General features: G+C 38.0%; 1 protein-coding gene across 30 annotated transcripts in view; it reads right to left on the bottom strand.

The window, feature by feature from the left end:
• Positions 1–13,091, bottom strand: part of TJP1 (tight junction protein 1) — a 269,683-nt gene that overhangs the window by 40,321 nt on the left and 216,271 nt on the right. For all 30 annotated transcript variants that reach the window (XM_005254620.4, XM_047432984.1, XM_005254619.4 and 27 more), the window contains 2 exons: positions 2,955–3,094; positions 1,644–1,749 (listed from right to left, as the gene is read on the bottom strand). In XM_005254620.4, the coding sequence (XP_005254677.2) occupies positions 1,644–1,749; positions 2,955–3,094 (246 nt within the window). The remainder of the gene's footprint in view (positions 1–1,643; positions 1,750–2,954; positions 3,095–13,091) is intronic.

A 13,091-nucleotide genomic window follows, 5' to 3' on the forward strand; every position in this document is an offset into this window, starting at 1 on the left:
GCCCACCTCGGACTCCCAAAGTGCTGGGATTACAGGCATGAGCCACTGCGCCCGGCCAGTCTCTGGAATCTTATCATTACAGTTTCCTAAACCTCAAACACTTACACAAGTTTTCAAGCAATTCCCAAGAAAGGAAAAGAAGGGGACTATCTATGCCTGCACAATTTATAAAAGGTTGAATTATCAATTACCTAATATTAAAATTGTACAGTTTTAAACTTGTAAAAACCCCATCTCTTTCAGGAACTACTTCTATCTACCTAGCTGGGTCTAAATCTAACCCACTTGAGGAAATCTGCCAATTTTCTTTTTTTTTTTGAGACGGAGTCTCGCTCTGTCACCCAGGCTAGAGTGCAGTGGTGTGACCTCGGCTCACTGCAAGCTCCGCCTCCTGGGTTCACGCCATTCTCCTGCCTCAACCTCCCGAGTAGCTGGGACTATAGGCGCCCAGCTAATTTTTTGTATTTTTAGTAGAGATGGGTTTTCACCATGTTAGCCAGGATGGTCTTGATCTCCTGACCTCGTGATTCGCCCGCCTCGGCCTCCCAAAGTGCTAGGTTTACAGGCATAAGCCACTGCGCCCGGCCCGGAATTCTGTCAATTTTCAATTATTCACATCATGTCCCCTTTACCAGTGCCAATAAAAAACTAATTTGGGCTGGGTACAGTGGCTCACATCTGTAATCCTAGCACTTTGGGAGGCTGAGGTTGGTGGACTGCTTGAGCCCAGGACTTTTAGACCAGCCTGGGCAATGCGGCGAAACAAAACCCCGTCTCTACTAAAAATACAAAAATTAGCTAGGTGTGGTGGTGTGTGTCCTTTCATCCCAGCTACTCAGGAGGCTGAGGTGGGAGGATTGTTTGAGCCCAAGAGGCAGAGGTTGCAGTTAGCCGAGATTGCACCACGGCACTCCAGCCTGGGCGACAGAGCAAGACCCTGTTTAAAAAAAAAAACTAACCAAACAAACAAAAAACTAATTTGATAATCATGATGGTTTGAAATTTGTTTACAAATTTACATCTCAATTCTACCAAGTATATAATGTAAAGTAATGAAAGGTGTTAAGATAGTAAAAACTTACTTTTGGGTTGCTAACTACCCTAGAACAGGTTCTCAACCAATCTCAACCATGATTTTGCCCCCAAGGAAACATCTGGCAATGTCTAGAGATAATTCTAATTGTCACAACTAGGGGACTGCTACTGGCATCTAGTGGCCAGGATTGCTGCTAAACATGCCACAATGCACAGGACAGCCCCTCACAACAAATGCTTACCTGGCCCAAAATGCCACTAGTGCTGAGATTGAGAAACACTGATTTTTTTTTTTTTTTAATGCTCCATTGGAAAGCTGTGGAAATTCTGATGTCTGAATAGAATTTTTTTTTTTTTCTAATTCCTAATTTAAAAGCTAGGCAGGAGACAGCGGTGAGAAAGAAAGCATCCAAAAAGTTCCTTTGTTGTCTAATTTCTAACTCACTATCATATATAAGTAGCAGAATGTTAAATATAAAAATAATCATAGTATTAGGTGGTATGTACTATTTTAAAAAATATATGCAATATGGTTTACAATTAAATTCCTACTCTGAATAATGTTAATAATGAACAAAGAAAACAATACAACTTTAAAATTGTATTACCGAAGAATCCCATCTTCATGAGTTGAATTAGGTAGGACACCATCAGATGGACTGACAGGTAAATCCACATCTGGTTGCCCAACTTGGGCATACACAGGCTTTGGTTCTAAGAAAAAAAAAATTGAGTAGGACTCACTTTAGAAAAACATGGAATAATAATGCAAGCAACCAAGCAATATATGATTCATAAGTTCAGAGAACCTGATGAGGAACATATCTACCATATGTATTAGAGTACATTTTATAGTAATAAATTCTGAAGTCTTTATAACAAGTAGGTATGTTACACAGTCACCTGTGTTTTCCATAGTTCCAGCAATCAGAATTTGAAAAATCTATTCTTTAAGAACGAATAACAAAAAATAGATATGAGAAGAGAGAATTCCTACACTTCCCAGTTAAGACTGCCAAAGTAGCTACCTTTCCTCATTATGATAAAATGTTTTTAAATAACCATATTTCTGCCACTCAGCAAGCAGAGCAAGAAAGATGATTTGAGAAAAGGAAGTGAAAGACATCAGAAACAAAATCTCCAGGCCTCCCAGGCAACCGATCTTAGCACCTTGCTGATTCTGTTTTGTCTTCACAGACAGCTTTAAAAGGATGCTTGGGTCAGACACAGTGGCTTGCACCTGTAATCCCAACACACTAGGAAGCTGAGGTGGGAGGACTGTTTGAGGCCAGGAGTTGGAGACCAACCTGGACAACAAAGCAAGATTCCATCTCTCCAAAACAACAACAAAAAACAAAGAAAACCCACAAAAAAACCCCAGAAAACCCAAAATAGCCAGGTGCGGTGGTGCACACCTGTAATAGGGAGGATCAGGTGGAAAGACAGCTGGAGCCCAGGAGTTTTGAGGTTACAGCGAGCTAATCACACCACTGCACTCCAGCTGGGTGACAGAGTGAGACTCTGTCTCAAAAAAAAAAACCCAAAGACAATAAATAAAGGTATACTCCATAAAATGTTTATGAAAACACTTTCAAAAAAGCAAAATAACTTTTCTTTTTAAATTTTTGAAGCCAATCTCATGTTTCTCTTTAAGGAGCAGTGTTGGAAAACAACTTTACTAATTGCAAGAAGTTGTTAATGATAAATATTTTCTATCTAGAAAGTAAAGGAAAACATTCATGAAAGGCAACTGATTTGTGCCAACCTGCTACCCATAAGGAAAACGCTGGAAGTCATATGCAGACAAATTCACACATGAGAAGAATAATAATTGCATCTTTAAAATCTTCTGTAAATCCTAACAATTACTTCACTCTACTTGCAAATGTTTCTTGAACTTAGTGTTTCGTTATGCTTACCTGGAAGAGAAGGTGTTTGTTTCTCATTTCTTTCAACTGTAACTTCTTCCACTGTTTTAGGTGTGTGATCATCAGCATGCTTTACAGGAGTTGAGACAGCCCCAGGTTTAGAAATTCTCTCTTCATCTCTACTCCGGAGACTGTGTGTCATTAAAATAAAAAATCAAGAGCATAAGAATGATTCTGGAAAGCATCTGTAAGAGAACAGTATAAGAAGAGGCAATGCAACTTCAAAAACAATGACAACCTGCTCTAACAGATACCAAAATATTGTAAAAACCTAGTAATTAAAAATAGAGCATTACCACAGAAAAACCAAATAGATTCATGTAATAAAATCGAAAATGAAGAAATATATCTATAATAGCAAAATTTATCATGAAAGTAGCATTCCAAACAAAACTGTTGGAGAAGGAACATAACATTTAATAAATGGTGTCGGGACAACTGTCCACAAATGTAGAAAAATTAGATCCGTATGTTTAACAATGACAAAAATAAACTGATTTCAGATGAAATCAAGTCCTAAAAAAAGAGTTTAAACATTCACATAATCAACAGGAGTCTTCTAAAGTAAGACTCAATGAAGCCACAGTATATCAACAAAAGTGATTACATAAAAATAAAGTACGTGCAAATAATTGGGAAACATATATAATACTGGGCTGAACTAAATGAAATGGGAATTCTTTAGTTCAAACAGCTCGATGTTAACTATTTCATACAGTTTAACTAAATACAAATGTTGACTATGTACTGACCTAAGTAACATATATAAGAATTTGGTACTTAAAAAAAGAAAAGACAGGCATGATGGCTCACGTCTGTAATTCCAGCACTTTGGGAGGCCAAGGCAAGAGGACTGCTTGAGCCCAGGAGTTTGAGACCAGCTGGGCAACATAGCAAATTCCATACTCTGTAAAAAAAATTTAAAATTTAGCCAGGCACTGTCACTTGTTCCTACAGTCCTAGCTATTTAAGTGGCTGAGGTGGGAGAATTGCTTGAGCCGAGGAGTTGGAGGCTGAAGTGAGCTATGATAGAGCCACTACACTCCAGCCTAGGCAACAGAACAAGACTCCGTCTCTTTGAAAAAGAAAAAAAGAACTATAAATCAATCAAGACAACTCAAGAGAGAAATGCAAAAATACAAAGAAGCTTTTCAGCAAAAAGGATGTACAAATACGTAATAAATATGCAAACACATTTAACCTCACTAGGAACTAGGGAAATACAAATTAATTAGAAACTGTATTATCGGCCGGGCACAGTAGCTCATGCCTGTATTCCCAGCATTTTGGGAGGCAGAGGCAGGCGGATCACGAGGTCAAGAAATCAAGACCATCCTGGCCAGTAAGGTGAAACCCTGTCTCTACTAAAAATACAAAAATTAGCCCGGCGTGGTGGCATGCGCCTATAGTCCCAGCTACTCGTGAGGCTGAGGCAGGAGAATCAATTGAACCCAGGAGGCAGAGGTTGCAGTGAGCCAAGATCGTGCCACTGCACTCCAGCTTGGTGACAGAGCAAGACTCTGTCTCAAAAAAAAGAAATCATATTATCATCCATGAGAACTTTCACATGATAACATCACTGGTAGGGAAAGATATGGAGAAACAGACATATTCACAAAATGATGGTAAAAGTGTATGACTATTTGAAGGCAAAATGGAAATTATCAAAACAAAAAATGTAACTAGGTCATACACTATAATTCCACTTCTATATTTATTCTAGAGAAATACAAATGTACTCAAGAAAACATTTATAAGAACATTCATTCTAGTATCAGTTTTAGTGGCAAGAAACAAAATAAAACTAAATGTTCATTAATAATTTCCCCAGATAAACAGAAATCATAAAGTGTACCAAGACAATATATATTTTAAAAGAAGCCAATAAATATATCTTGAATAAAAAGATAAATCAAGATCTATAATTTTACAAAGTATCACGTATATATGGTTTTACAGCTGCATTCTCCCAACCTCGGAAAAACAAAATAATTTGTTTAATTATCCTGGACCACAGAAAAATATAAAAAGCTCTCTAATTCACTTAAAAAAAAACTTTATTTCCAAACATATACAGCCATACAGAGAACAGTATCATAAAACCCCATGTACTCATCGTCGACAATTATCAATACTCTAGTCATCAGCATTCCAATCTGAGGCTACCAGAACCTTTAACATCCAAATCTTGATGACAAGAGTACAAAGAGAGAAAATAATATATTTTTCATTATGAATGGAGGAAAAAATTCTAAATAAATAAAATACTAGCTAGGAGAATACAGTAGTGTATTAGAAGACTATCATCAGGGTTATTTCAAGGGTGCAAGATTAGTTCGACATTAGGAATTTACTGACACAATTCATTATTATGCACAAATATTTACAGAAAAAAGTGTTAATATCAAACTGGCATGAGAAAATTTGCAGTCATTCCTAAACAAAAACTGAAATAAGCAATATAATTATGAAAGAAACTATTTTCTAAAACCAAGAGCAAACATCCTATCAAATAGTGAAATGCTGAATGTATTTACACTATTTACACCAAACTCAGTAACAGGACAGTGATACCTGTGAACACTACTGTTATTCACTCTGATTTTGAAGACCCAGGTAGTATAATCACGAGCTAATGGTCCCAAAATATTGAAAAAAAAAAAAAAACTTAATGAATATTAAAGACTACTGAAAAATTTCCTGAATTAAGATAATTTTAATTACATAAAAAAATCTTTTGTCAATATCGTCAACAATCAGATGGAAATGAAAGGGAAAAAATAACACCAGTAACAAGAACATTAAACATTCTAAAACTTTAGACTGGGGGAAGCCTTTGCAAGTAGGATAGAAATTCGGAAGCCATAAAGGCAAGATAAAAATATCTGACAAGATTAAAAACTTTTACTTGCACAGGAAAAGATATTATAAAGACTTACATTTGAAACACAGCTATATCAGTAATCTGGTACTAGCCATTAAAAATTTTGAACAACACAAACACACTCTTTAAGGACTTTAGAAATAAAATGCACCAGCACAGTACATGAAATCAGGTACGAAGGTGCTTACTGCCATGTTTTCGCAGGCAAATACCTAGAAACAAGATGTCCATAATACGGAAAGTTTCTTATCAAAAGAATAAACTGGATGTTCACCTTGTATTGTTCAACTGAAATAATTTAGCTGAGTAATAATTCAAATCCTGATCTCTTAATTATTAAAAGAAAAACCCAAACCCTATATATGATACCAAATGTCAGTACGAGTCTGGAGAATGGCTTAATTCAAGAAGAGTGAGAACTGGGGGTGAACTGGGGGTGAAGTGGAGTTGGTGGATTTGATCTATTTCACTTGTTCTAATAAGCATGCATTGTTTGTAAAAGACTATTAAAATTAGGTGTAATGAAATAGAATGATATGTACAGACATGAAAACTTTAAAACGGCTGGGCGCAGTGGCTCACGCCTGTAATCCCAGCACTTTGGGAGGCTGAGGCGGGCGGATCACAAGGTCAGAAGATCGAGACCATCCTGGCTACGGGTGAAACCCTGTCTCTACTAAAAATACAAAAAAAATTGGCTGGGCGTGGTGGCGGGAGCCTGCAGTCCCAGCTACTCTGGAGGCTGAGGCAGGAGAATGGCGTGAACCCGGGAGGCGGAGCTTGCAGTGAGCCCAGATGGAGCCACTGCACTCCAGCCTGGACGACAGAGTGAGACTCCGTCTCAAAAAAAAAAAAAGAAAGAAAATAACTTCAAAACAAAATGCCAAATAAGACACACAGATTACAGAATACATATAGCAGGATACCATATAGCTATTTAAAAACTTTTCTCTAAAATATAAACAGACATGTTTGCACATGCCCATGTACAGACAAGCAACAGATACCAAATAAGCAACAGTGGTTCACCTTGGAGGGAAAAATAGCCAAAATAGTAGCCAAGAGGAATTTTACAGTTATCTCTACTATTTCAACTTTTACAAAAATTTACTTATTATAATAAAGATTGAAAAAATATATTTAAAATTATTTTTAAAGACTAACTTTAAACATAAAATTTGGTTTTATTAACGTATATTATTAGTAGTCTCTTTTCAGGAAAAGGTTTCTTTCTATGTTGTCTTCCTGAAGGAATAAAAAATAAGTACTTTGCATAGTTTCTATTTTTGTATTCTTTTAACCATTCTGTGGAGGTGTATTCTACTTTTAAGTTGGTATATTCTTAATGAGCTGCACTGAAGTAGAACAATCTTTTAGGAAAAAAAAAAAAGCCAAGATATTTTCTAGCTCAAACAAGGATGAGCTACTTTTAAATTGGAAAAGATTGGCCGGTTAAATATGCAAATGATGTTTAACATGAAACATCACTCCTGTAATCCCAGCACTTTGGGAGGCCGAGGTCGGTGGATCACCTGAGGTCAGGAGTTCGAGATCAGCCTGACCAACATGGTGAAAACCCCTCTCTACTAAAAAAACAAAAATTAGTTGGGTGTGGTGGCACGCACCTGTAATCCCAGATACTTCGGAGGTTGAGGCACAAGAATCGCTTAAACCTGGGAGGCAGAGGTTGCAGTGAGCCGATATTGCGCCACTGCACTCCAGCCTGGGCAAGACAGCGAGACTTTGTCTCAATAAATAAATAAATAAATACAATAAATTGTAAAAGATCAAAATTTTTAGCCATTACTTGTGTAATAAAATATCACAATTAGCTAAGTATAAATCAACAAAATTAAGCTCTATCCCCAAATTGTGCTGTGCTCCTCAGATTAAAAGGGAAGTGCAAAATAGTAAATTATCCCTGCATTGTTTGCATTAAAAAATATGATTAATATATTATAAATACAAAATTATTTTTAAAAAGAGAAAAGTGAAAAAATAAGTTAAAATGAGTATTTTTAAAGAGAATGAGTTACCCACAAAATTTTAATAGTTCTACAGATTTCTATTGCTCTGTACAAAGCAGAATTTGTTTAGAAAAGGTAAGAATTCCAATTAATTTTCTTCTTTCTTGTAACTGATCAAAACTTCTAAAAATTAAAATGTGATTAACAGACATTACCATCTTGGTATTTTAACTTACAATATTTTAACTCAAATGCTCTCCTCAATGATAAACGATAGGTCGTCATTGGCTATACATGTAGGGCTCTTGCTCCATATATCACACAAAACTTCTGGGAGTATTTTTATCTTTGGCCAATTTGCATACCCCATTGCTAATTACCTTTTTGTCCTGTGATACAATCATTATAACATTAAATGCAATTAGCCTTCCAAAACAACATTTCACATAAATGGGACTCACACCATTCTATTCAATTTTTCATACAATTAATATTTGAAATATTAGCTTTTGTTAGTGCATTTCCATTATCTACCAAAAGATGGAGGCATTTTTCAATAATACATAAAGATCTAGAACAGTACTGTTTAAGAGAATTATAAAATGAGCTGCTTACGTAATTAAAAATTTTCTAGAATCCATGTTAAATAAAATAAGGCGAAATCAATTTATAAATTTTATTACTCAATGTATCTAAAGTAGTATTTCATCATCTAAGTTATTAATGAGGTATTTTACATTTTTTGCATACTGTGTTTTCAAAATCCAATGTGCATTTCACACTAACAATACACCTCGATTTGGACTGGCCACATTTCAAATGTTGAACAGTGACATGTGGCTACTGGCTATGGTGTTGGACTATGCAGATCTAGAGTTACAGCACAAAATAAAATAATCAACTTTTCCAAACATTAAAATGTTCTTTCACAAGCAAATGTGACTATGAAGTCAAGATAAAATCTGAATTTACACATGAAATTAGTCAACAATCAGTGGCAATTATTGAAAGAAATTGTGAGGTTGTGATAATGAATCACATTTTTCCCAAACCTTCCTAATTCTTTTTTTTTTTTTTTTTTTTTTTTTTTTGAGTCAGGGTCTCAATGTTGCCCTGGCTGGAGTGCAGTGGCACAATCATACTTCACTGCAGCCTCAACCTCCCAGGCTCAAGCAATCCTCCCACCTCAGCCTGCAAGAGTAGCTGGACTACAGATGCGTGCCACCATACCCTGCTAACTTTTTCTACTTGTTGTAGAGATGGGGTTTCGCTATGTTGCCCAGGCGAGTCTCGAACTTCTGGGTTCAAGTTATCCTCCTACTTCGGCTTCCAAAAGTGCTGGATTACAGGTGCAAGCCACCATGCCCAGCCCTTCCTCACATAATTCTATCCTAATGGCTCTCCATATTTAAGCTTAAAAATGTGTGTGTGTGTGTGTGTGTGTGTGTGTGTGCGCGTGTGTGCGCGCGCGCGTTTGCTATTATGAGGAAAGCTTTCTATAAAAATTATGTGTTCGGAGTCAGGTTCATGTTTACGTATTCCAGCTCCTGGTAGCCTAGAAGGAAACTTTGGGCATTTTAAGGTACCTCAAGATCCTCTTATGGGCACTTTTGCTTTTCCCCAGAAGGGTAAGACGAGTTTCTGTTGTTTTTTTTTTTTTGTATTAACTTGCACGTATTAATCTAAAGGTAATGACCTTGTTATCTGGAGGCTATGAGCTAGTTGAAAGCTCTAGACAAGACAGCTGACAAAGATGGACTGGAAAGGAGTCTCTGAGAGAGATTTTATAGGTCACATGAACGGACTCACTGTTAAGCAGAGCCTACTTTAGGTCTTACCCAATCAAATGTGTGACCAGTGTAGCCGATTAATACACACTCAATTAGATTAGCAAGGAGTAACATGCTGTTTCAAGTAAAAAACTTTGGTTGTGAAATTGCAGCTGTTTGGAGCCATTTAGTAGAGGCAGAGGGCATGCAGCATGGTCAGTACAGGGTCCTGGGGAGACGCTGTAGGAGAGAAGGTGCATCCCCTCAGCATGCTCCTGCAGTGCCCAGCATCCTAAAGTACTCGGTGGCCAGCAGCCTGCTCCAGAGACTCTCTCAAACGGTTCTGTTGTGTGAAGTCTCCCATGAGATACCTCCCCAGCACATGGGAGTACAAATACCATGCAAGTTCGTCTGGTGACATACCACAGCAAATTCTCGGCCACTCAGTGAGCACCGTTGTTCCCTTTCCAAGAAGGCCAGATCTCAGCCCTGAGGATGAGTGAGTGGGAGCCTCTTCCTTTGGCACTCTATCTCAGCACCAAGGAGAGTAGCTGCTCCTTCTATCTGTGGTTCTTTTGTGCTTTGTTTTTGAGACGGAGTCACGCTCTGTCACCCAGGCTGGAGTGCAGTGACGCAATCTCGGCTCACTGCAACCTCCGCCTCCTGGGTTCAAGTTATTCTCCTGTCTCAGCCTCCTGAGTAGCTGGGATTACAGGAGCATGCCACTGTGTCCGGCTAATTTTTTTTTTTTTTTGAGACTGAGTCTCGGTCTGTCACCCAGGCTGGAAGTGCAGTGGTGCGATCCTGGCTCACTGCAAGCTCCGCCTCCCGGGTTCACGCCATTCTCCTGCCTCAGTCTCCCGAGCAGCTGGACTACAGGCACGTGCCACCACGCCCAGCTAATTTTTTGTATTTTTAGTAGAGACAGGGTTTCACCGTGTTAGCCAGGATGGTCTTGATCTGCCCTCATGATCAGCCCGCCTCAGCCTCCCAAAGTGCTGGGATTACAGGCGTGAGCCACCACGCCCGGCCTAATTTTTTGTATTTTAGTAGAGACAGGGTTTCACCGTGTTGCCCAGGCTGGTCTTGAACTCCTGAGTTCAGGCAATCTGCTCGCCTCGGCCTCCCAAAGTGCTGAGATTACAGGTGTGAGCCACTGCGCCCAGCCCTATCCGTGGTTCTTAATCTTCAGAGCTCTCTTTAGTTCTTACCAGTCAATCCCTCATTACTCCTGTTATGTTTAATTTCTTTACATTCAACTTTCTCTGTTCATGGAAACTGTGCTTTCTGTCTCCTGATTGATAAGATATGCCTGGTCGCCATTTCATAGCCCTTTCCCTCTTACTTCTAGCTCTATGAACACCTTTCCAATCAACTTGATGTGCCTTATTTTAAAAATAACCTTAATACAGGAAATAAATGAAGCGCTGAACATTCACTCTAGTAGAATATCCTTTTATAAAGCCAACTCCCCATTACAAATTAAAGACTTATACTACAAAAACGGATTTATACATACTTTTCACAAGTTCATTAATTGCATAAGGTAGGCAAGAACACCACAGTTTAGGTTGAAAACAAAAGCTAGCTACTAATCCCTTTAAAAGGCATTGGATTATCTCAACCACAATTAACAATAAAAATATGCTAAGAATTTAAGTTAACTGTATTCCAAAGTTTTTTCCACTGACAGGAAAATTTCAGCCTGGAAGGCTCTATTGCAAAAAGACAGAAAAGTGAAGGCACACTCCAGTTTCATACTTAGAATGTTGCAATCACTGCTAATCCTCTGATTTTATATGGAAACAAATATATACACATTGAAGTTCCCCCTTCACAACGATTAAAAAATGGTCTCTCTCTGCACTGGTACCCAAAGAATTCTGGGGATGAGAAAGCAAGAGATACAGGGCTGGTACTTGGGAACAAAAGGTAAAAAAGTTGCCCAGGAAGTATGCTGAGAAGGCAAGAAAATAATTACCTTAATTCCACTTTGTCATTTTGTAAGCTAATTTCTCACAATGTAAATCTGTCCTTTACATGTAATCTGCTTTCTAAAACATACATGTGTTCATGAGCATGCTTCTGAAAAAATCTGAGTCTATTTCACTGTGATATTGTTTTTAGGCAATAATTTAGATGTATGTGTTTGTGGAGCTTATTCTTCTGTACAAGTGCTTCTCATCTTAAACATTCATCTATTAATCTAGTCCATCCGCATTAGAAGAAAAACAGGTCTGTGGTTCAAAAGTAATTTTCATGGATATGGACAACTTTTAGTAAGAAACAACTGAGGAAAGCCCAAGAGGACTTTTGTCTCACTTAAAGAATTGTGTTGTTACACCTTCATTGGTGGTATAATGATTATTCTGTACTTTGACTAATACTTATGACTAACATAGCACTTTGTGCAGTTTATTTGGTAGATTTTATAGTGGGAGACCAATGTCACAAATCTTATTAGGATTCTCTCAGAGAAAACAGAAAATTGTCTCACATTTAAAAAATCTGCAAATAAGTTTTTTTGTATATTTACTATTTTAGACAAGTGGAGCAGTTTGTTTTTAAATTTGCCATTTTTAAATATTGTACTTGTAGAAGAAAACAAATCTCAGCTGATGGAGTAAATAAACTTTATACTTTTACTTTTTATTTTTGTACTACTTATTTTTGAGACAGGGCCTTGTTCTATTGCCCAGGCTACAGTTCAGTGGCGTGATCATGGCACACTGCAGCCTCAACCTCTTGGGCTCAAGCAGGCGATCCTTCCACCTCAGCCTCCTGAGTACCCAGGATCACAGATGTGCACCACCACGCCCGGCTAAATACACTTTTTTTTTTTTTTCCCCCCAGACGGAGTCTCGCTCTGTCACCCAGGCTGGAGTGCAGTGGCATGATCTCGGCTCACTGCAACCTCTGCCTCCCAGGTTCAAGCGATTCTCCTGCCTCAGCCTTCCGAGTAGCTGGGATTATAGGCACACGCCACCACGCCTAGCTAATTTTGGTATTTTTAGTAGAGACTGGGTTTCACCATGTTGGCCAGGCTGGTCTTGAACTCCTGACCTCAAGTGATCTTGCCCACCTTGGCCTCCCAAAGTGCTGAGATTACAGGTGTAAGCCATCGTGCCTGGCCTACTTTCACTTTTTAAACGGGATATATGATAAATATTGAAGCCTGCCTTTCTGCTATTTGATCCATGATCTCCTCTTAAGGGTTAAAATCTAACAGCAATCACTGAATACCCCATGACTATACTTGGGTTTCCATTAACTAGAGAAACTTAATCAACTAAAATCTTCCCTCTTTTGGCCCCTCACAAAAGCACACTGAAAATAAAACCTCACATTGGAATTTCAATGAAGTAACCTGAAATCCCCTCAAACTGAAAATAACAGTTCGTTCACAAAAGTTCAGGATGTCATCGATATTCCACTCACTTTGAAATGTTAGATAAAACATATTAGCAAAAAAGCATTTAATAACATTTCAAGTAATAAACAACATTAA

This window comes from Homo sapiens, chromosome 15 (assembly GCF_000001405.40).
Source record: "Homo sapiens chromosome 15, GRCh38.p14 Primary Assembly".
Taxonomy (NCBI): domain Eukaryota; kingdom Metazoa; phylum Chordata; class Mammalia; order Primates; family Hominidae; genus Homo; species Homo sapiens.